The 25,389-nt window shown below is 39.0% G+C and overlaps 1 protein-coding gene across 7 annotated transcripts in view, besides 1 other annotated feature; it reads left to right on the plus strand.

Moving 5' to 3' along the window:
• SPMAP2L (sperm microtubule associated protein 2 like) overlaps positions 1-25,389 on the plus strand; it is a 95,609-nt gene that overhangs the window by 21,125 nt on the left and 49,095 nt on the right. For all 7 annotated transcript variants that reach the window (XR_941041.2, XM_011534357.2, XM_011534361.3 and 4 more), the window contains exons 3-5: positions 819-884; positions 7,662-7,790; positions 23,775-23,912. Coding sequence is in view for 6 of the 7 variants with exons in the window: in XM_011534357.2 (XP_011532659.1) it covers positions 819-884; positions 7,662-7,790; positions 23,775-23,912 (333 nt within the window). In the remaining variant the exon portion in view is untranslated. The remainder of the gene's footprint in view (positions 1-818; positions 885-7,661; positions 7,791-23,774; positions 23,913-25,389) is intronic.
• Positions 6,285-6,497: a silencer, noted in NCBI's record as "fragment chr4:57424181-57424393 (GRCh37/hg19 assembly coordinates)". NCBI's record gives its function as "represses an EF-1alpha promoter that drives an FKBP-Casp9 reporter gene in an ReSE screen in K562 erythroleukemia cells {active_cell/tissue: K562}" and the evidence as "EXISTENCE:reporter gene assay evidence [ECO:0000049][PMID:32094911]".

The raw sequence follows: 25,389 nt of genomic DNA on the forward strand, positions 1-25,389 counted from the left end.
GACAATGCTACATTAACAAACAAGACACAGAACTCTCAATGACTTAACACAATAAAAGTTTATTTATTTCTCCCTCCTGCCAGAGTCTAGTGTGAATTGATTGGCCCTCCTCTACCTTGTAGCTCTGCTGTCTAGGATATGTGGCTTCTAGGTCCCTGCAACAAGGAAAGAGAAAAGTGGAAGAGACGCACTAGCTCTTATGTGGTACCCAGTACTCTTGCTGAAATTAGACGTGACAGTTATGTCACTCCAAACAACTGCAAAGGAGGCTGGGAAACATAGGGCAACACATGGACACTTGGAGGGCACAAACTCTCTCTGCTGCAAGTGGATTAAGAAAAATTAGGGAAGGTTCAAGGGAGCAGAGTGAGGCACAGAGGGGATTGAGTGGTACCAAAAGTGTATTTTGCCTATTTCATAGTTTTTCCAAAGCCAGATATTCTGTCTGAAATTTGTCTGTACAATCTCTTCAGAATCCAGTGCCACCAAGCCATCTACAAATGACCTTAATAGACTGATTGAGGTTTTTCCTGTTAACAAGTGTGCATTTTACCTCAGGTCTTCTGGAGACAATATGTTCTTTGGTTGCATAATTTATTGTGTTCATTTTATTATGTGCTATATTAGTAATTCTAGAAGTGAGAATGTTGGGTACAAAGAATGTTTGGATACTTTGAGCCTTTCAGCACTCTTCAAATCACATCAAATACAGCATTGGTTTTAGTTCTTTTTTTTCCCCCCTCCTATGAGCAGGAGTCATCTAATGTAACCACATTTCTTAAGCATTCTCTTTGAATTAATCAGCTGCTATTTGTTAGTTTTTCTTCTAGGAAGAGAACCCCAAATCTTTCAAAGCCTAAAAAGCAATGGGGAACTCCAGACAGGTAAGGCAATATTGTATGGTCCTGTTTGTGATGATTGTGTTCATTACATAAAACAGGTAAGTATTATTTATCCATCCACCTCTACTTAACTAGATCCTCTGAACCAATATTGTCACCTCATTGTAGTCAGCATGTAAAAGGCTAACCCTTGGTCAGTGGTTCTTAAATTTGGCTGTACATTGGAATCACCTGGGGAACTTTAATAATGACTGAGTGCTTTCCCCAAAAATCCTGATTTAGTTGATATGGGGTGTGCCATAGACTTGGGGAGTTAAAAGCTCCCCAGATGATTCTATAGGCGGACAGACTTGAGAACCACTGCTCAGGGGTGTGACTGCACACTCTTTTGAAACTTTTTGTGCATTCTCCAAGTCCAGCTTTGCTGCCTGTATCTCTAAGGCTCCTATCACTAATCCTGATACCTCTAAGCCTCTTATTAGAACACACCTGTCCTCTGGGTCTCCAGCAAGCTGGACCCTTAGTCCTTTCACGCTTGGCCAAGGGACTCCTCTTTTTCTTCTTTGGCTCCTGAGTCAAGCTTGAATATTTTTTGGATCTCCTATTGCTTTTTTTTTTTTTTTTTTTTTTTTTTTTGAGGCAGGGTTTCACTCTGTTTCTCAGGCTGGAGTGCTGTGGTGCAATCATGGCTTACTGCAGCCTTGACCTCCCAGGCTCAAGTGATTCCCCCACCTCAGCCTCCTGAGTATCTGGGACCACATGTGTGTACCACTGTGCCCAGCTAATTTTTAAATTTTTTTGTGGAGACGGGGGTTTCCCTATGTTTCCCAGGCTGGCCTCAAACTCCTGTGCTTAAGTGATCCTCCCATCTTGGCCTCCCAAAGTGTTGGGATTACAGACGTGAGCCACCATGCCTGTCCTATTGCTTTTTTTTTTTTAAACAAAATTAATATACTTTAATTTTTAGAGCAGTTTTGGGTTTACAGAAAAATTGAGCAGAAAGTAGAGTTTCCATATTTACCACCCCTCCCCTTAGTTTTTCCTACTACTAACATCTTGCATTATTGTGGTACAATTGTTAAAATTGATGAGCCAATATTGATATATTTTTACTGATTAAAGCCTATGGTTTACATTAAGGTTCACTTTTTGTGTTGTGCAGCTTTATGGGTTTGACAAATGCATAATGTATCCACCATTATAGTATCATACAGGACAGTTTCATCGCCCTAAAAATTACCTGTGTTCCAACTATTCATTTCTTTTCCTCTTTCCTCCCTCTCCAAACCCTTGGCCACTACTGATCTATTTACTGTCTCTATAGTTTTGTCTTTTCTAGAAAGTCATCTAGTTGGAACTGTACAGTACGTAATCTCTCAGATTGGCTTCTTTTACTTAGTAATATGCATTTAAGCTTCCTTTATGTTTTTTTTTTTGTCTTGATAGCTCATTTCTTTTTAAGATTATATTCTATTGATGTGGGTACTATTTAGTTGTATAGATGTATCATAGATTATCCATTTACCTATTTAAGGGCATCATGGTTGCTTCCAATATTTGTCAATTATGAATAAAGCTGCTATAAACATTCACGTGCAGGTTTTTTTGGTATATTTAAGTTTTTAGCTAATTTGGGTAAATTGCTGGATAATATGGTAAGAGTATATTTAACTTTGTAAGAAACTACTAAGCTCTTCTAAGATGACTGTACCATTTTGCATTTTAACAAGCAATGAAGGAGAGTTCCTGTTGCTCTCCATCTTTGTCAGCATTTGGTGGTGTCAGTGTTTGGATTTTAGCCATTCTAATAGGTGTGTAGTGGTATCTCATTGTTTTAATTTGCAATTCTCTAATGAACTGATGTTGAGCATATTTGCTTATTTGTATATCTTCTTTGGTAAGGTGTTTGTTCAGTTCTTCTGCCCACTTTTTAGTTGGGCTATTTGTTATTGTTGAGTTTTAAGTGTTCTTTGTATGTTTTGGATGCCAGTCCTTTATCAGATACTTGTTTTGCAAATATTGTCTCCCAGTCTATGGTTTAGCTTTTCATTCTCTTAGCAGTGTGTTTCACAAAATAGAAATTTTAATTTTTATGAAGTTCAATTTACTGATTTTTTCTTTTGTGAATCATGCTTTTGGTGTTGTTTCTAAAAACTCATTGCTAAACCCAAAGTCACCTGGATTTCCTCCTGTGTGTTTTTCTATGAAACTCCTGAAAGTTTTATATTTTTGTGTTTTATATTTACATCTAGACACATTTTGAGTTAATGTTTATGAAAGGTGCAAAGTCTGTGTCTAGATTATTTATTTTTGCATGTAGATGTCCAGTTGTTCCAGTACCATTTGTTGAAAAGACTATCATTTCTTTTTTTTTTTTTTTTTTTGAGATGGAATTTCACTCTTGTTGCTCAGGCTGGAGTGCAATGGTGCAATCTCGGCTCACTGTGACTGCAACCTCCCAGGTTCAAGTGATTCTCCTGCCTCAGCCTCCCAAGTAGCAGGGATTACAGGCAGGCACCACCACGCCTGGCTAATTTTGTATTTTTAGTAGAGATGGGGTTTCTCCATGTTGGTTAGGCTGGTCTCGAACTCCTGACCTCAGGTGATCTGCCTACCTCAGCCTCCCAAAGGGCTGGGATTACAGGCATGAGCCACCGTGCCTGGCCAGGACTATCATTTCTTGATTGGATTGCCTTCAATACTTTGGCTATATTTGTGTGGATCTACTTATAGGATCTGTATTTTATCCCACTCATCTGTCTCTTCTTTCACCAGTACCACACTGCCTTGATTACTGTAGCTTTGTAAGTCTTGAAGTAAGGTAGTGTTAGTCCTCTGACTTTGTTCTTGAATATTATGTTGACTATTCTGGGTCTTTTGTCTTTCTATATAAACTATAGAATCAGTTTGTCAATATCCATGAAGTAACTTGCTAGGATTTTTACTGGGATTGCATTGAATATATAAACCAAGCCAGGAATAATTGATATCTTAATATTGAGTCTTCCTATCCATGAATATTGAATACCTCTCCACTTATATAGCTCTTTTTTGATTATTTCATTAGAGTTTTGTAGTTTTCCTCATATAGATCTTTTATGTATTTTTTTGGAATTATGCTTATGTATTTAATTTTTTGCAATGCTAATGTAAATAGCATTGTGTTTTTTATTTCAAATTCCGATTGTTCTTTGTTGGCATACAAAAATCAGTGGACTTTTGTATATTAATGCTGTATCTTGCAACTTTGCTATGCTCTAAAGACTAAGTTTTAAGAGGCTTAAAACTGAAAATATAGTATGCATTAAATTGTCTCTTATTCATGGATAGGAACACACACATATTTATTGAGTAGAGGTATACACTGATAAGAGAGATGTTAATGAATATTATTAGAACTGTCAAAATCTTGGAACACTCAACCCACCCTATTTGAAAACAATAGAAAAATTGGAGACATTATTTGATTAGGGAGTAAAGTTTAGAAAAGTTAAGTAACTTACCCAATTCAACTTGGATTTGAATCTACATCCATTGCCCACAAAGCCTGCTTCTTTCCATTATATCACCCTGTCTATTTTAGAAAGGCACAATTCCTTTGATGGCATGGAAAACCAGAGGCAAGAAGATAATTTGGGGCTATTAAAATAATGCAGGAGAGAAATAGTGATAGCCTATCCTAACACATTGGCCTTAAGGGTTGAGACAAAGGTTAGAGTCAAAACATAGATGGACAGGACCTAGTGACAAATGAATTATAGAAGTCTGAGGAAGGAGTAAAATATGATTTCTAGTTTTCTGTCTTTAGAAATAAGGTAGAAAATGCTATTATGACTGCGAAAGAAAATACAAGAGGGGGATAGGTTTGGGAGGAAGATACATTAGGTCATGCAGATGATTTTGAGACATTCAGTAAGTATCTGGAAATATGGATTTGGCAGTCAGGAGACTACTTGAGAATAACTGGACAGACTCATTTGGGATTTGCCAGTATTTAGTAATAATCAAATAACATTGAGGATGGGCACAGTGGCTCATGCCTGTAATCTCAAGACTTTGGGAGGCTGGAATGGGTGGATCACTTGAGGTCAAGAGTTCGAGACAGCCTGGCCAACATGGCGAAACCCCATCTCTACTAAAAATACAAAAAATTAGCCAGGCGTGGTGGCACGCACCTGTAATTCCAGCTACTTGAGATAGGTTGTGGCAGGAGAATTGCTTGAACCTGGGAGGTGGCAGTTGCAGTGAGCCGAGATTGTGCCACTGCAATCCAGCCTGGGCGACTGAGAGAGACTCCATCTCTAAATAATAAAAATAATAATAATATTGAAGATATTGGAAGCCTGGAGCACGTGCTATTGTTTGAGTTGTGAAAGAAATGCTAAACAGAGAGAGGCCGGGTGTGGTGGCTCACGCCTGTAATTCCAGCACTTTGAGAGGCCAAGGCGGGTAGATCACTTGACGTCAGGAGTTTGAGACCAGCCTGGCCAACGTAGTGAAACCCCGTCTCTAATAAAAATACAAAAATTAGCCAGGCATGGTGGCACGTGCCTGTAGTCCCAGCTATTCGGGAGGCTGAGGCAGGAGAATTGCTTAAGCCTGGGAGGCTGAGGTTGCAGTGAGCTGAGATCATGCCACTGCACACCAGCCCAGGTGACAGAGGTGACAGAGGGAGACTCTGTCTCAAAAAAAAAAAAAAGAAAAGAAAAGAAAAGAAACAAACAAACAAAAAACAAACAGAGAGAGCTGCTAGAAGAGAACCAGGAAAGAGAGAGTCTCAAAGGCCAGCGAAGAAAATTATTAAAAGAAAGATGGATCCTATGAGGAAACATTCAAAGAATTTGTGGTTGGCCAGATTAGACTGGCAAAGAAAGTTTGAAGGCTGATTTCTAAATTCAAAAAGTACATAAAGCATTTTAAAGAGATGAAAGCTAAATAAATGTTATGATGGGAGAGATTATACGAATTTCAGAACAACAAAACTCTGGAAATGGAAATGAGAGCTGTTTTGTGTTTTCTAAATCTGGAAATCTGAAACAGACTAGAGTTTTAGCTGTGCAGAATGGGGTGATTGAACACTGAACCCCCAAGAATCCTTCTAGTTCCATTATTCTAGAATTCTGTGGGTAATTGTGATGGTGTCAGACTTGGTTCTATTTCATGGATCCATCAGACAGGTGTGGTATGGATAAAGATCCTATCCTCTGGGGTCAAGTCCTGGATATGGACCATAGAAGATTACATTTTTATTTTCTTGATATTACTAGCCATGTAACTGCTAAACAGGTAATTTTTAAAATGCTGTCAGTAAAGTGGTACATTATCTGTTTATAATATGCTACTTTAGCCTGTTGGTTAGCCTCCCCACTTCCTGATGAAGTTTACCTCCAAATTTTTCTTTTTTTTTTCTTTTTGAGATGGAGTTTCCTTTTGTCGCCCAGGCTGGAGTGCAGTAGTACGTTCTTGGCTGACTGCAATCTCCACCTCCCAGTTCCAAGTGATTCTTCCACCTCAGCCTCCCAAGTAGCTGGGATTACAGGCATCCACCATCATGCCCGGCTAATTTTTGTACTTTTGTAGAGACAGGGTTTCACCATGTTGGCCAGGCTGGTCTGGAACTCCTGATCGCAGGTGATCCACCTGCCTTGGCCTCCCAAACTGTTGTTGGGATTACAGGCATGAGCCACCACGTCCAGCCACCAAATTTTTCTTGACTGTAGAGTCTCTGCTGTTTCTCACCCCACTGGTCTTTTCCTTCTAACTTACTTTAAGCCAAATATCCTGCTTTGTACATTATCCTCAGTGACTTTTGTTCATACTCTGTGTTTTCTAGTTCTTGTGGCCAAAATTTGTTTTATTTTATTAAAAAAATATTGTGGGTACATAGTAAGTTTATATATTTACTTGTGGCCAAAATTTTTAAGCAGCTAATAATCTCATGAGGGTTCAGTTCTTGGACGGCATCATTTGGACCATATTTTATGCACTTGATTTCATGGTTGTGTCTAAGGTAACCTTTGCTTTGAATTTGAAACTGGATGCAAACCCAGTATATATATACACACATTACCTCAGCTTCCTAATCCCTGACCCTCCTAACCTCTCTCCATCTGAGCTGTTATATTTACCCCTATCCAAAGACATGTTTTTCACTCTGTTATTACCACTGATAATGGCCTGGCCAAATCCTATTGTCGTTTGATTTTTTTCATCCTTTTATGATGTCTAAGTTATATTTGATGCTTTTTGATATATTTTATGGCTTATCAAAATATATTTGGTTTGATATATTTTATGCATCCTTATCTCAAACTCTTCCCCTCTTTGACTTCTATTACATGGTTTTCTCACCTCTACCCACTACTTCTTTCTTTTTTTTGAGATGGGGTCTCACACTGTTGCCCAGGCTGGAGTGGAGTGGTGTGATATTGGCTCACTGCAGCCTCCACCTCCTGGGTTCAAGGGATTCTGCTGCTTCAGCCTCCCAAGTAGCTGGGATTATAGGCATGTGCCACCACGCCTGGCTAATTTTTGTAGTTTTAGTAGAGACGAGGTTTCACCATGTTGGCCAAGCTAGTCTCGAACTCCTGTGGTGGTGCGTGCCTGTAATCCCAGCTACTCGGGTGGCTGAGGCAGGAGAAGCACTTGAATCCGGGAGGCAGAGGTTGCAGTGAGCCGAGATCGAGCCACTGCGCTCCACTCCAGCCTGGGCAACAGAGCAAGACTGTCTCAAAAAAAAAAAAAAAAAAAGAGTCATTTTTTATATTTTCACTAGCAATCAATTTTTTTTTACCATTTTATCTGTATGCTTCTTAACAGAAAACTGTTTTGGGGAAATCAAGATCCTATTCGCCCTGTTTCCCAGGGTGCTTTGAAGGCTCAGCTGACCAAAAGACTTGAGAACCTTGCCCAGCCCAAGGAAGTTTCCTGCCACTATGTACCTAACAGGTTAGTGTCTGTGTGTTATCATGTTACTTTATCAGGAGGTTTTTTGTTGTTGTTTTTTGCTTTTTGAGACAGAGTCTCACACTGTCACCTAGGCTGGAGTGCAATGGCATGATCTTGGCTCACTGCAACCTCCGCCTCCCAGGTTCATGCGATTCTCCTGCCTCAGCCTCCCGAGTAGCTGGGATTACAGTCACACACCACCACACCCAGCTAATTTTTTGTATTTTTAGTAGAGACAGGGTTTCACTATGTTGGCCAGACTGGTCTCGAGCTCCTGACATTGTGACCTGCCTGCCTTGGCCTCCCAAAGTGCTGGGATTACAGGCATGAGCCACCACACCTGGCCTTTATCAGGAGTTCTTAGGGAAAATGGACATAGAGCTTTTATCTAAAAGCCACAAATTGTTCAACGTGCAGTCAAAATTCATTGAGAATTAGGGATTCTATATCTGTTTCCAACCTGATGCTACAGGTAAGCTTTTCCAGAGCAAAATCTGATACTTAACTATTGCAGACTTGTAATATCTTATAATGCTTTGGTTTATGAGGATTAAAAAAAATAAAGTGAAGGTGTTATACAAGGATACTTCCAGAATTAGGAAGACATCTCTTCAAGATATCTTTGAAGAATTCTACAGAAGCCATTATTTTTTCAAGTTAGGGGCTCCAATTTTAGAATTAAAGACACTGTAGAAGTTCAAGAGATATCTGAAATCACCTGTTGCGACTCCTGCCGAGGACTGGCCACTCCCTTCTCTAAGTTCCCCTCACCTTGGCTTCAGTGATACTCTCCGTCCTGGCTTCTCTCCCATCTTCTTCACCTTGCCCTCTCAATATCCTTTGTGGGTTTCTCTTTCTTTGCCATTGTTGCCCAATGTCCTGTCCCTGGCTTCTTTCTCTTCCTGCTCTAAACTCTTCCCAAATGTGGAGTTGTCCTCTCATAGGAATTTTGCTTCCATTCTTGTGGTGGTGACCTCCAACTCCTGTTCCCAGCCTAAACCCCTCCTTATCTCAGAAGTATTGTCTTCCCCTGTGGGAAGGTGCTACAGGAATCTCCAACTCAACAAGTTTGTATCATTTTTTAAAAAATTGAGATGATGTCTTGCTATGTTGCCCAGGCTGGTCTCGAACTCCTGGGCTTAAGCAGTCCTTCTGCCTTAGCCTTCCAAAGTGCTGGGATTACAGATGTGAGCCACTGTACCTGGCCAGCATGTTTGAAACTGAACTACTTTTTATTTTTTTGGAGACAGAGTCTTGCTCTGTTACTCAGGCTGGAGTGCAGTGGCCTGATCTCGGCTTACTGCAACCTCCACCTCCTGGGTTCAAGTAATTCTCTTGCCTCAGCCTCCCCAGTAGCTGGGATTACAGGTGTGAGCCACCATGTCTGGCTACTTTTTGTATTTTTAGTAGAGACAGAGTCTTGCCATGTTGGCCAGGCTGGTCTCAAACTTCTGACCTCAAGTGAGCCACCCACCTGGGCCTTTCAAAGTGCTGGGATTACATGCATGAGCCATCACGCCTGGCCAGACATGCTTTTTAATCTAATGTTGAGGTGGATATTTGCTTCAGAATGATATTTACAGGCTACAATCATTGGTGTATTTATTTACTTGTAAAAGTTTATTCAAGAAGATGAATTAAATAATATTTTCAAATTTCTTAATGAAGATCACTTCATTTTTTTGAACACAAGAACGCCAGTTGTACATGATTAATCTTCTTTCTAGAAAATATAGAAATGATCTTTGCATGTTTGGTGACATTTTATCATTATGTTTGGTGGCATGTTACTATTAAATTTAATTCAGCAAATATTTTGCTACAACAGAATACCTGAAGCTGGGTAATTTACAAAGAGAAGAGGTTTATTTAGCTCATGGTTCTATAAACAGAGAAGTATAAGAAGCATAGCGCTGGCATCTGCTCGGCTTCTGGTGAGGGCTTTTCATGCTACCTCATAACATGAAGAAGAAAGTCAAAGGGAAAGCAGGCATGTGCAAAGAGGGAAAACCAAGGGGCATCCTGGTTTCATAACAACCCATTCTCATGGGCACATTCCTGTTAAAACTAATCCAGTCTCAAGAGAGTGAGAACTCACTCACTACCGAGAATGGCACCAAGCCATTCATGAAGGATCCGTCCCCATGACCCAACACCTCCCATTAGGCCTCAACTCCCAACACCACCATACTGGAAATCAAATTTCTTTTTCTTTTTTTATTGAGATGGAGTCTTCTTCTGTTGCCCAGGCTGGAGTGCAGTGGCGCCATCTTGGCTCACTGCAACCTCCACCTCCGGGTTCAAGCGATTCTCCTGCCTCAACCTCCTGAGTAGCTGGGATTACAGGCGCCCACCACCATGCCCAACTAATTTTTGTATTTTTAATAGAGACGGGGTTTCATCATGTTGGCCAGGCTGGTCTTGAACTCTTGACCTCAGGTGATCTGCCTGCCTCGGCCTCCCAAAGTGCTGGGATTACAGGCATGAGCCACCGCGCCTGGCCTGGGAATCAAATTTCATCATGAGCTTTGGTGGAGGCAAACAAACATATCCAAATTATAGCACGGGGGCAAAGGCAAGCAAGACACAATTACTGTTTTTAAGGAGTTTATCATCTATTACGGGGGATATACAAGGTAGATTAAAGTAATAACCAAGAAGCCTTTGGAGTGGAATAAAGAAGAGATTATATTTACTTCGGAGGGATCAAGGAGGAGAAAAAAGCTGAATTTTCCCTTTCCCTACTCTCTCTTCCTAAAAGTATCCTAAATTTTCCTATGATTTCTTCCAGAAAAAAATAAATAAAATTATGCACATATGTATCTTTTGCCCTTTAAAAAAAAAAAGCAAAAGGAATCTTTAGTGTGTGTGTGTTTATATGTGGTTTCTTTCTGGTAAAATCCTTGATCTTCTCTCCTTTAAAATGTGTTCCCCAGACTTGAGCCATCAGTATATTATCTTCATAAGCTGCCATATTTGTGTACCATTAAATTATTTATTCAGTATTTGTATTTAAATGACATGTGTCTAATAAAACTCAATACCACTCATTCCCTCTAAATTCACTCAAGTGCTACCTAAAACCATTTGGAATACCATTTGCGGTGTGTGTGCATCACATTTGCTTCATATTATTTTAGACTTTTCCCTTATATCTTTATTTTACTTAATTCTGTACTGTATAATAAGAATATATTTTAAAAGGCAACAAAAATCTACTGTAGGCTTACAATTCAGAGAAACTATTTTGTCATATTTTCTTCGTCTTTTTTTTTACTATGTGTGTATTTACATATATAGCCTGCTTAAAGATTTTGAGATAATAAATATAATTTATATAGTGCTTTTTGTGCTTAAAAATCTTTCTAAACTTTTTTTTAGGAAGAGTAGATAATTTATTAAGCAAGTAATTCTTCTATTGTTAGAGATATAGTATATTTCCAATTTTGTAGCATATGTAACATTGTTGTGAATGAACTTGTGCATGAAACTTTCATGAATTTTTAATTATATCCATGGACTTGATTATGAGTTAATTACTGCATCTAAAGATAAGAAGGTTGTTAAGGCTTTTTTTTTTTTTTTTTTTGGAGACAGGGCCTCACTCTGTCACCCAGGCTGGAGTGCGGTGGTGTGATCTTGGCTCACTGCAACCTCTTCCTCCTGGGTTCAAGAGATTCTCCTGCCTCAGCCTCCCGAGAAGCTAGGACTACAGGCACATGTCACCATACCCGGCTAATTTTTTTTTTTTTTTTGTATTTTTAGTAGAGACGGGGTTTCACCATGATGGCCAGGCTGGTCTCAAACTTCTGACCTCATGGGATCTGCCTGCCTCGGCCTCCCAAAGTGCTGGGATTACAGGTGCGAGCCACAGTGCCTGACCTGCTATTAAGGCTTTTGATGCTCATTATGAATTTGCTTTTGGTGCTTGCTGGTTGAATGATTTAAGCTTTCTGCTAAGTTAGCTCTCTGAGGAAAGACTGTTGGGGGAGGGGAAGGAGATGGATACAGGCAGTGAGGGAGCTTAAAGTAACAAGAGAAGGATGAAGATATTATTATTTACCTGCAGTTTGGTTTCAGATAAAATACCAGTTTAAGGTGGCCATTTCTCTATCTCTTTCAATATATAACTTTAGTAAAAAGTTAACGAACTTTTTCTGGAAAGGGCCAGATAGTAAAGTTAGCCACACACTCTTTGTTACAACTACCCAACTCTGCCATTATAGCACCAAAGCATCCATAGACATTATGTACACTAAGTATGTATGTGATGCAATATAACTTTAGAATTCTTGCATCTATGTCCGTGAGGGATATCGATTTGTAGTTTTCTTGTACTGTCTTTGTCTGGTTTTGGTATTACGGTAATGGTGTCCTCATAGAATCAATTGGAGAGTATACAGACTTGGTATTTATTGGTATTTAAATATTTAGTGGAATTCTCCAATGAAGTCGTCTGGGCCTAGAGTTTTTTGGTGAGAAGGTTTTTTAACTATAAATTTAATTTATTTTATAGATATAGGGCTATTCAGATGACCTGTTTCTGAGTCAGCATTGGCAGTGTGTGTCTTTCAGACAGTTTATTAATTTCGTTGAAGCCACAATCTGTGGAATTTTTTTTTTTTTTTTTTGAGACATGGTCTCACTCTGTCACCCAGACTGGAGTGCAGTGGCATGATGTCTGCTCACTGCAATCTCCACCTCCCAGGCTCAAGCGAACCTCCCACCTCAGCCTCCCAAGTAGCTGGGACTACAGGCACGGCACGCACCACCATGCCTAGCTAATTCTTTGTATTTTTAGTAGAGACGGAGTTTCACCGTGTTGGTCTGGCTGGTCTTGAACTCCTGACCTCAAGTGATCCACCCACCTTGGCCTCCCAAAGTGCTGGGATTACAAGCGTGAGCCACTGCGCCCAGCTCATTTATTAATTTCATCTGTTTTGAAATTTACTGGAGTAAAGTTGTTCATATATTTTCTTACGTTTGATATCTATCCAACCTCCTGTGATGATCCCCTCAACCCCTCATTTCTGGTATTGGTAGGTTGTGCCTTCTCTCTTTTTTTGCTGTCATTCTGGCTAGAGATCTATCAGTTTTTGGTTCCATTGATTTTCTCCATTATTTTACTGCTTTTTATTTCATTGATTTCTCCTCTGATCTTTATTATTTCCTTTGTTCTGCTTACTTTTTATTTTATTTGCTTTTCTTTTTCTAGTTTCTTATGATGGAAACTGAGATCGTTGACTTGAGACCTTTCTTATTTTTTCTGATACAGTCATTAGTGTGATGCATTTTCCTCTAAGTATTGTTTTAGCTGCATTCCACAAATGTTGATATTTGTGCCTTAATTTTCATTTAGTTGAAAATACTTTCTAATACCTCTTTTGATATCATGTTTGAGCCATGGATATTAGATGTATATTATTTAGTTTCCAAAATATATGGGGGATTTTCCAGATGTCTTCCTATTGGTTTCTAATTTAATACCACTATGGCTAAAGAACACATTCTGCATTATTTTAGTCCTTTCAAAATTATTGAAACTTTTTTATGTCCCAGATTATGATCTATCTTGATAAATGTTCGGTGTGCACTTGCAAAGGATGTGTATTTTGCTGTAATGGGTAAAGTGTTCTATAAATGTCACTTAGGCCAAGTTGGTTGGTAGTCTTGTTCAAGTTTTCTGTACATCCTTACTGATATTCTGTTTACTTACTTGTTCTATCAGTTATTATGATGGCATATTGAAATTTCTGACCATAATTGTGGATTTGTCTATTTCTCCTTGCAATTCTATTGGTTTTTACTTTATGTACTCTAAAGCTCTGTTATTAAATGCATAAAACTTTAGAATTACAGTTGAGCATCCCTAATAAAAAAATCTGAAATCCAAAATGCTCCAAATCCAAAACATTTTCCGTGTTGACATGACTGGAAAGTTACACACCTGACCTTGTGTGATGGGTCACAGTCAAAACACAAGCACACAACACATAGTTTATTCATCATCCATAAGGGAAAGTAGATGCTCCCAGTCCCCTTTCTGTACTCCCATGCAAGGACATCCATGAAAGTTAATAAAATGGTTCAATGTATACAAACCTTGTTTCAGGTAGAAAATTATTTAAAATATTATATAAAATTACCCTCAGGCTATATGTATTAGGTAGATTTGAAACATAAATGAATTTTGTGTTTAGACTTGGGACTACTTCCAAATATATACATATTTATTCATCAATCCAAAAAATTCAAAATCTGAAACACTTCTAGTCCCAAGCATTTTGAATAAGGGATACAGTTAACCCCTTTATTATTACAAATTGACCCTTTTTTATCATTGGTAACATATGTTTTACTCTGAAATCTACTTTGTCTGTTGTTAATACATATATGCCAGCTTTCTTTTTATTATTGTTAGCATGACATATATTTTTTATCCATTTACTTTTAACCTATTTGTGTCTTTACATTAAAAGTACATTTGTTATAGGCAAATGTTGGTTTTTATCCAATCTGATAATCTCTGTTTTTAAATTGAGATACTTAGATCATTTACATTTACTGTGATTACTAATATGTTGAGGTTTAAAGCTACCAACTTGCTGTTGTTTTCTGTTTATTCCATCTTTTTTTGGTTCCCCTTTCCCCTCTTTGTTGCCTTCTTATTTATTTATTTACTTATTTATTTATTTGAGATGGAGTTTTGCTCTTGTTGCCCAGGCTGGACTGCAGTGGCACAATCTTGGCTCACTGCAACCTCTGCCTTCCGGATTCAAGCAATTCTCTTCCCTCAGCCTCCCAAGTAGCTGGGATTACAGGTGCCCACCACCACGCCTGGCTAATTTTTGTATTTTTAGTAGAAACAGGGTTTCACCATGTTGGCCAGGCTGGTCTTGAACTCCTGACCTCGTGATCCACCTGCCTTGGCCTCCCAAAATGCTGGGATTACAGGCATGAGCCACTGTGCCTGGCCTGTTGCCTTCTTTTAAATTAATTGATTTTTTATTATTTCAGTTTATCTTCTTTATTGGCCTATTCACTATAACTTTGTTTTTTAGTTTTAGAACTTTAGAACTTATAATGTGCATCTTCAACTTATCACAGTCTACCTTTCTATCTTTAATTTATACTACTTAATGTATGATGTAAGATTCTTTTTCTTTTTCTTTTTCTTTTTTTTTTTTTTTTTTTTTGGCAGAGTTTTGCTCTGTCATCCAGGCTGGAGTGCAATGGTGCAATCTCAGCTCACTGCAACCTCCGCCTCCCGGGTTCAAGCGATTCTCCTGCCCCAGCCTCCCAAGTAGCTGGGATTACAGGCATGCGCAACCACGTCCAGCTAATTTTTGTATTTTTAGTAGAGACAGGGTTTCAGCGTGTTGGTGAGGCTGGTCTCAGACTCCCAACCTCGTGATCCGCCCACCTTGGCCTCCCAAAGTTCTAGGATTACAGGCATGAGCTACTGTGCCTGGCCTAGTGTAAGATTCTTATAATGGTATATTACCATTTCCCTACTTCTGGCCTTTGTGCCACGGTGATCATACATTTTACTTCTATAAATCTTACATTATTATTATTTTTGCTTTAAATAGTCAAATCTTTTAAGGAGATTTTTAAAATAAGAAAAAGCGTTTTATATTTACCGGCATTCTTACCATTTCCCATACTCTGCATTCCTTTGTGTAGATCTATTAAATCTATACATTTCATTTTGTATTTTTCTTCTTCCTGGAGGACTTTCTTTAATAATATTTTTTTTTAATTAAGATGGAGTGTCGCCATGTCACCCAGGCTGGAGTACAGTGGTACGATGTTGGCTCACTGCAACTTCTGCCTCATGGTTTCAAGTGATTCTCCTGCCTCAGCCTCCCAAGTAGCTGAGATTACAGGTGCACACCACCACACCTGGCTAATTTTGGTGGTTTTTTTTTTTTTTTTTTTTTTTTTTTAGTAGAGACAGGGTTTCACCACGTTGGCCAGGCTGGTCTCCAACTCCTGACCTCAAGTGATCCGCCGCCTCGGCCTCCCAAAGTGCTGGGATTACAGATGTAAGCCACCATGCCCAGCTTATACTTCTTTTAGTTCAGGTCTGCTGCTGATGAATTCTTTCAGCTTTTGCATATCTTAAAATTCTTTATTTCACTTTCATTTTGAACTGTATTTTTGGTGGGCATAGAACTCCAGATGGACAAATACTGCCTCACTGTCTCCATTATTTCTGATGAGACTTTGACTGTTATTTTGCTTTAATGATTTTTCTCTTTGTCTCTGGTTTTTAAAAATTTGATTATCATATATCTTAATGTTTTTTTCATAATGTTTCTTCTGTTTGGGGTTCATTAAAATTGGATCTTTAAATTTACAATTTTCATCTAATTTGGAAAACTTTCAGTTATTATTATTTCAGATATTTTTTCTGCTCCTCCTTCTTTGCGGGCTCTAGTTGGATGTATCAGACTGCTTGAAGTTTTCCCACAGCACATTGAATCTGTTTCCTCACCTCTGTGTTTTATTTCTCTCTATGTCTTCATTAATCTTTTCTTCTACAGTGTAATGTTTGTCTCACCCAGAGTATTTTTCTTCTCACCCATTGTAGTTTTTAATCTCTAGAGGTTCATTTGGGTATTTTTATATTTTGTGTCTACTTAACATGCTCAATCTTTTCTTTGCCTTCTTGAAAATACGCAATACAGTTACAATAGCTGTTTTAATGTTCTTGCCTACTAATTTTATAATATATCATTTCTGAGTCTGTTTCTAATGATTGATTTTTCTCATTATGGGTCATAATTTACTGCTTCTTTGCATACCTGGTAGTTTTTTATTGGGTACCAAATATTGTGAATTTTACCTTACTGGCTCCTGGATGTTTTTGTATTCCTATAAATATTCTTGAGCTTTGTTTTGGGATGTAGTTACCTTATTTCTAAACAGTTTGATCTTCTGAGGTTTTCTTTTAAAAAAATAGCTTTATTGTGATTAATTCACTTACCAAATAATTTGCTCATTTAAGGTATATAATTTAGTATAAAAGTATAGTGGCTTATGCCTATAATCCCACTTTGGGACGCTGAAGTGGGAGGATCGCCTGCACTCAGGAGTTAAGACCAGCCTGGGCAAAATAGTGAGACCCCATCTCTGTACTGAAAAAATTAAAAATGAAAAATTAAAGTGTATAAATTAGAGTTTGGTAGTATGTTCACAGGACTGTGTAACTATCATCAAAATCTAATTTTAGAACACTTTGTCTTCCCTAAAAGAAACATTAAACTCATTAGCAGTCAGTTCTTACGCCCCTTCAACTTCTCCAAGCCCTAAGTAACCACTAATCTATTTTCTGTTCCTATAAGTGTACTTATTCTGGTAATTTCATATAAATGGAATCTTACAATATGTTGTTCTTTGTGACTGTCTTCTTTTGCTTAGCACAATATTTTCAAGATTCATCTGTGTTGTAGCATGTATAAGTAAATTTGTTTTTATGGCTAAGCAATCTTTAATTGTATGGCTTTGCCACATTTTATTTATCGATTCATCAGTTGTTAGACATTGGCCTCTTTTTACATTTTGGCAAAAGTAATGCTGCTATGATCATTTGTGTACAAGCTTTTGTGTGAATGTATGTTTTCATTCCTCTTGAATATATAGCAGGAGTTGAATTGCTGTTTCACATGATAACCCTATATTTAACTTTTTGATGAACTGCTAGACTGTTTTCCAAAGTGATTGTATCACTTTATAATCCCACCAGTAATGAATGAGAGTTCCAATATCTCCACATCCTTACCAACACTTGTTATTATCATTTTGATAAAGCTGTCCTCCTATGTGTGAAGTAGTACTCATTGTGGTTTTGATTTGCATTTCCTTAATAATTTTTGATGTTGAACATTTTTTCATTTGTTTGTTGGCATTTGAATACCTTCTTTGGAGAAATGTTCATCCAAATCCTTTGTCCATTTTTGAGGCTTGCTTTTAAGTTTTTTTTTTAAAAAAATGGGACTGGTGGCTGGGTGTGGTGGCTCATGCCTGTAATCCCAGTACTTTGGGAAGCCCAGGTGGGTGGATCACTCGAGGTCAGGAGTTTGAGACCAGACTGGCCAACATGGTGAAACCCTGTCTCTACTAAAAATACAATTAGCTGGGTATGGTGGTAAGCACTTGTGGTCTCAGCTACTCAGGAGGCTAAGGTGGGAGGATCACTTGAGCCTGGGAGGTCGAGGCCATGATTGCATCACTGCATTCCAGCATGGGTGATAGAGTGAGACCCTGTCTCAAAAAAAAAGTTACTGGAGATGTCTTTATTCTAGGGATAAACCCAATCCCTATTATACTATCATGCCGGGAAGTGGAAGTCTCTTCTAAGTGTTTTAATTTACCAAAGTATTTACTTTAAAAATATTACCATTTGTATTTCATGACCCAAGGATTTATGCTGTAATACTAAGTGAAAAATTTGAACATAAAACTGTATATATACTGTGATCCTACTTTTATTTTAAAATGTTTATTCCTTAAACATACCAAGATATTTCCCATCCCAAGGCCTTTTTCTCATTTTCTCCTCTGCTTAGAATGCTTTCCCCATTTTTGAGTCACTAAGATGTTTTGATCCGTTAAGTCTCAGCCTAGGTCTCAGCTTTTCACAGAGACCTTCCCTGACTATTCTCTTCAGCATAACTTTCAACATTCTCACGAACCTACCCAGGAAGCCTCTATCTCTGCTGAATAGTTGATGCCTTCATAGTACTCACCACAACTATTTACAGTTATGCGTTACTTAATGACAGGGCTATGTTCTAAGAAATGCATCCGTAGGTGATTTAGTTGTTGTACAAACATCATAAAGTGCACTCACACAAACCTAGATGGTATAGCCTACTACACACCTGAGCTATATGGTATAGCCTGGTGCTCTTGGGCTACAAAGCTGTGCAGCGTGTTACAGAATACCTTAGGCAATTATAACACAATGGTAAGTATTTGTGTATCTAAACATATCTAAACATAGAAAAGGCACAGAAAGCTATGGTATAAAAGATAAGAAATGGTACACCTGAATAGGACATTCACTAAGAATGGAGCTTGCAGGACTGGAAGTTGTTCTGGGTGGGTCAGTGAGGGAGTGGTGAGTGAACATGAAGGCCCAGGACATGACTGCATGCTACGGTAGACTTTATAAACACTGTACACTGAAGTTATACTGTTTATGAAAAAGTTTTTCTTTAATAATATATTCACTTTAGCTCACAATAAGCTTCTTTTTTAAAATTTTTATTATTTATTTATTTATTTATTTTTGAGACAGGCTCTTGCTCTTTCACCCAGGCTGGAGTGCAGTGGTGCAATCTTGGCTCACTGCAACCTCCCCCTCCCGGGTTCAAGCAATTCTCCTGCCTCAGCCCCTCGAGTAGCTGGGACTATAGGCATGTGCTACCACACCCCGTTAACTTTTGTATTTTTAGTAGAGTCAGGGTTTCGCCATGTTGGCCAGGCTGGTCTGGAACTCCTGAGCTCAGGTGATCCACCAACCTCAGCCTCCCAAAGGGCTGGGATTACAGGTGTGAGCCACCACACCTGGCCTTTACTTTATAAGCTTTTTAACTTAAAAAAAAAAACAAAAAACCTTTTTGACTATTTTATAATAACACTTAGCTTAAAACACAAACACATTATACAGCTATCCAAAAATATTTTTTCTTTATATCCTTATTATCATTTTTTAATCCACAGGACTCTGCTTGATATATATCCTTATAACATAAGCTTTTTTTTTCTATTTTAAAATATTTTAAACTTTTAAAACTTTTTTTTTTTCAGAGGTCTTGCTCTGTTGCCCTTACTGGAGTGCAGTCATACTCAGCTCACTGTAACCGCAGCCTCCTGGGCTCATGCGATCCTCCCACCTCAGCCTCCCAAGCAGCTGGGACTACAGGTGTGCGCCACCACACCTGGTTAATTGTTTTGGATTTTTTTGGTAGAAACAGGGCTTTGCCACGTTGCCCAGGCTGGTCTCAAACTCCTGGGCTGAAGCAATCTGCCTGCCTGAGCATGGTGGCTAGCACCAGTAATCCCAATGCTTTGGGAGGCCAAAATGGGAGGATAATTTGAGGCCAAGAGTTCAAGACCAACCTGGGCAACATAGTAAGACCCCCATCTCTAAAAAAAATTAAAAAAATTATCTGGGCATAGTGGCACATGCCCGTAGTCCTAGCTACTCAGGAGGCTGAGAGGGGAGGATTGCTTGAGCCCAGGAGTTTGAGGCTGCAGTGAGCTATGATCACACTGCTCTCCAGCCTGGGTGACAGAGCGGGACCTGACAAAAAAAGAAGGTACAAACAAACATTAGCCTAAGCCTACAGAGGGTCAGGATCATTCATATCACTATCTTCCACCTCCACATCTTGTCTCACTAGAAGGTGTTTAGGAGCAAAACATGCATGGAGCTGTCATCTCCTATGATAAAAGGCCTTTTTCTGAAATACCTCCTGAAGGACCTGTCTGAGGCTGTTTTACAGTTAATTTTTTTTATAAGTAGAAAGAGTACACTCTAAAATAACAATAAAAATACATAAACCCGTAACATGTAGTAAATACATAAACCAGTAGCATAGTTGTTTATCATCACTATCAAGTATTATATACTGTTTAAAATTGGATTTTACAGGGAAGTTAAAAAAAGTATTATGTACTGTACATAATTGTATGTGCTGGTAGGTTTGTTTACTGCAGCATAACCATAAACATATGAGTAATGCAGTGTGCTATGATGTTATGATGGCTACAACATCACAAAGCAATAGGAATTTTTCAGCTCCAGTACAATCCAGTATAATTGTTGTATAGGTGGTTCATTGTTGACCGAAAGGTCATTACACGGTGCTTGACTGTATTTTACATTTGGTATTCTCCCCTTGACATAGAGAACAAGCTGCAAGAAAGCAGTGATTATCCTATTCTCCACTCTCTCCTAGTGAGTGCTCCTAACACAGGACCTGGTGCTCAATACGTATTTTTTGAGTGTATAAATAGAGGGAAAAAAGACTCAAATTATTCCAAGATATTACCCATTACTATCTCTGAATGGTGGACTACTATATGCTTTTTGTTTCTCTCTCTTAAACTTCTTTATTTTACAAGTTTTGTATACTGAATATTTGTCTCTTTTACAATGAGAAAAATGCAGTGTACTCTATATTAAAATAATATTTGAGGCTGGGAGTGGTGACTCACACCTGTAATCCCAGCACTTTGGGAGGCCAAGGCAGGTGGATCACCTGAGGTCAGGAGTTCGAGACCAGCCTGGCCAACATGGCAAAACCCTGTCTATACTAAAAATACAAAAATTAGCTGGGGGTGGTGGTGCACACCTATAATTCTAGCTACTTGGGAAGCTGAGGCAGGAGAATTCCTTGAACCCAGGAGGCAGAGGTTGCAGTGAGCTGAGATCGCACCACTGCACTCCAGCCTGGGCGACAGAGCAAGACTCTATCTCCAAAAAAAAAAAAAAAAAATTTGAGTACCTGCTACATTGACAGCGCTGTGAGACTTGGATGTGTGGATGACTCTGGGAGGAGGAGAAGCACGTAAGGGCAGCAGCAGTACATTCTGTTAATATGCAGCATCTATAAGGAAAAGATATGCAAATATGAAATTTAAAATTAATATACAAGTTGATTAATAGAATCATTTGAATAGTGCTTTGTGAATTATAAAATAACATATACACTTCTCTTGTTTAGTCTTCATAATCACCATATATTGTTTATTTTCTCCATTTTGTAGAACACTTATGTACTTCTAGGTGTTGGCAGCATAAGGCATAAGTATTATGGTCAGTACAGATTTTCCTGGCATTTGGTGGTTGCCATTCCCACCTGAGAGAATGTTGAGTAGCAGTTGTCTCTGGTGTCTTCTTTTTTTTCTATCTCTCACTCACTGCTTGGGCCTTTCCCCTCGGCTCTATTCTCCAAGCACATCTTGCCTTTGTGCCGCTCATTGGCTGCGTAATCACCTTCTTCCCAACCACTGTGGCTCCTTTTGCCTGAGTCTAAGGTCTCCACAGTGTGCCCCATTGTTCAAAGTCACCACTTCCTTCTGTATTTCTAATTCCCAAACTGAACTGCCATTTCCTTCAAAAGGCCAATCCCAGGTAGGGGCTAGAGGTTTCCTGCCTTTTTAAGCTGGGCTATGTGTGGGTATGGGTGTGGGTAGGTGAGTCAGTGCAGTTGGGCAGTAGAGTCAGGGCTGGGCAGCCTCCAGCCCCCTCAAAAGATATGTGTGGTGGTGTAGACAGGCCTCAAGACTGGGTGGTCGCGAGCAAGGGGGATACAGTCTTATATGCAGATTGAGGCTTACAAGACACCAGTTCAGCCTAGATGTAAAGGATGTTTACAGCTGCAACCAGCAGACAGAGGCTTGGGCAGAGAGAGGGATGCAGATCTGTATCTGTGAACGTCCTAAAGGAACAGAGGTCCTTATAATAGAAGCAAAAGTGGGACTGCAATTTGAGTTAACATTGGGTCTGGGGGGGTAGTCAATGTCACTTCCTTTTCCACTGATGATGTATTTTGATAAGGAAAGATTGAAGGGCAGCGTTGTTAAGAAGAACAATGGTGGCTGGGTGTGCTGGCTCATGCCTGTAATCCCAGCACTCTGGGAGGCTGAGACGGGAGAATCACTTGAGCATAGGCATTCGAGGCTAGCCTAGATAATATAGCGAGCCCCCATCCGTACAAATATAAAAAAATTAGCCCAGCATGGTGATGCAAACTTGTAGTCCCCCCTACTCAGGAGGCTGAGGCAGGAGCATTGCTTGAGCCCAGGAGTTTGAGGCTGCCATGAGCCATGATTGTGCCACTGCACTTCAGCCTGGGCAATAGAGCAAGATCGTGCTTCTAAAAATAATAAATAGACAAATAAAAGAAGAACAATATTATTACTTATCCTAAAAATTCATAGTTAACAAGCCCCAATAATGATTATTCTGTGCACATCATCAAGTAGAATGTATTCCTAAACTCAGTTATCTAGCAAAGTATCAATATAATTCACCGTATAAAATAGAAATATAGTAAAAAAATTTATTTATATAGATGCTAAAGGAAGTATTTGGTTTTAAAAGCAGCAAATTTTCTCTTCATCTGTATATCTTTTGGTCTATTTGGAAAATGTAATTGCCAGGCATGGTGGCTCATGCCTTTAATTCTAGCACTTTGGGAGGCTGAGACAGGAGTATTGCTTGAGCCCAGGAGTTCAAGACCAGCCTGGGGAACATAGTGAAACCCCATGTCTACGAAAAAATTTTAAAAAGTTGCTGGGCATAGAGGCACATGCCTGTGATCCCAGCTACTCGGGAGGCTGAGGTAGGAGGATCACTTGAGCCCAGGAGGTTGAGGCTGCAGTGAGCCCGTGTATGATCCTGTCTCAATTGAAAAAAAAAGATGTCTGCTGGGCGCGGTGGCTCATGCCTGTAATCCCAGCACTTTGGGAGGCCGAGGCCGGTGGATCACGAGGTCAGGAGATCAAGACCATCCTGGTTAACACGGTGAAACCCCGTCTCTACTAAAAATACAAAAATTAGCCAGGCGTGGTGGTGGGCACCTGTAGTACCAGCTACTCGGGAGGCTGAGGCAGGAGAATGGCGTGAACCTGGGAGGCGGAGCTTGCAGTGAGCCAAGATCGCACCACTGCACTCCAGTCTGGGCGACAGAGCGAGACTCCATCTCAAAAAAAAAAAGAAAAAAAAGAAGATGTCATTTATTTGAGAAAACTATCTGTTTTGAGTATAATAGAAGCCAGTTGAAAACTTGATGGGTGTAACCGTTTCTAAAGCAATTAATTTCTCCTCACATGGAAAATAGATCATCAATAATAAACTGTCATACCTGCTCCCCTAGGCCTGGGGATCGATGTTGGAAAATACTATGACAATTTGAAATCATGCTTGTTTCGTTTACTTCTTTTCTCTTCTACAACTTGCAGGGCTCAATACTACCACAGCTGTGGAAGAGAGTCTGTAATTTGGGAGATCACTCCTCCTGCATTGTTTAGACAACCCTCCAAAAGGATCCAGAGGCTGTCACAGCCCAATGGATTCAAAAGACAGTGTCTACTAAATAGGTAGAGTATCTTGAGAATCTCTGTAAATCCTAATCTAATTTGGCCAGATGTCTTAGTATTTTTGTTCTAATTTTAGTGTGTGCAATTTCATGAGCTAAGAGTCCACTTGTGTTCCAAAGCATCAGGTAAAAAATCAAATATTTGCAGCTATTGTAGGTAATCAGAAGTTCATCTTCGGTAATTACATTTGACTCACATTGTGGTGAAACTAAAATTTATACTAAACCTTACCATTGTTAGCCAGTTAAAAGGAAATATGCAACTAAAACACCACAGGTTTTTGCAATTTGTGGAATTTGTTCTCCTGTATCTCTCTGACTTTGATACTTTTTCTTCCTTTTGCTTTGAAGGCTGAATTTCTCCTTGTCTTTATAAGACCACTAGGTGGTACATTTTCCATGGGAGCTAAGATTGTGATGTGGTTGTTGCAAAAGCTAATTCAATGTTAGGTTGCATTAGTGGAATATATACAGTGTACAGTTGTGGAGAGGTGATAGTGCTACTGTGTGCTACTTTAGTCGGAACACACTGGACATGTATGTGCAGTTATGTATGTTATACCTTAAGAAATGATAATAAACTTGAGACTATTCAGAAGGTGGGAAATGAGATATTGGGCTCCTGGAAACTATGTTATGTGAAAAATAATTAAGAGAAATGACATGTTTAGTTTAAAAAGAGAATAAGAAAGTGGTGACAGCTGTGTTAAAATATTTAAAGGGTTGACATCTGGAAGAGGAAGAAGAGGTGAAAGTAAAATTACTTTATGTTAATCCTAGAACTAGAAGTAGAACATTGACAGGGCAGCAGACGTCAGCTTAGTGGAGGAAAATCTTTCTGACTAGCTATTGGGTAATGGAAACTGTCCAGTAACGGAAAGTGAACCAGCATTCCACCCTCATCCCTGCAAGTTTTCAAGCCCAGGCTGGAACTGTGACTTTACATGGATTTTAGAAAAGATTCCTACATTCAGAGAAAGGTTGAACTAGACAGCTTGAGTCTTTTGCATCATAGAATACTGCGAAAGAAGGCCCAATTCTTCCCACAGGGTTTCCTCAATTACTTATTTATCAATTCATTCAATAAAATCCACTGTACCAAATACATAAAATTTGGTAGTTATGTATACACATAAATTTGGTAATGTGTCTATAGTTATAAACAAAGGAATACTTTATTGCCACTTCTTGAGACCTCAGTTTGATGTTGCATGTAAATAAAATGCCCTTTAGTTAAAACATTTTGTACTTTTTTAAGTTTATATTTCCCTGCTTTTCTAAGTAGACTTTTCTGCTGCTTGAACATACATGTAACCATTGTTCATTGGCTTAAGCTCTTTATTATGAACATCAGCTATTTTATAATACCTTAATATAGAAAACCTCTCAGGAGCTGTTTAAGTATAAAGCCAAGATTTTCCTTAGGCTAATGGTCTGACTTCTGTGCTTTCAAATTAAAGTACTTAAAGCACTGAAGG

The sequence above is a fragment of the Homo sapiens genome, chromosome 4 (assembly GCF_000001405.40).
Source record: "Homo sapiens chromosome 4, GRCh38.p14 Primary Assembly".
Classification (NCBI taxonomy): domain Eukaryota; kingdom Metazoa; phylum Chordata; class Mammalia; order Primates; family Hominidae; genus Homo; species Homo sapiens.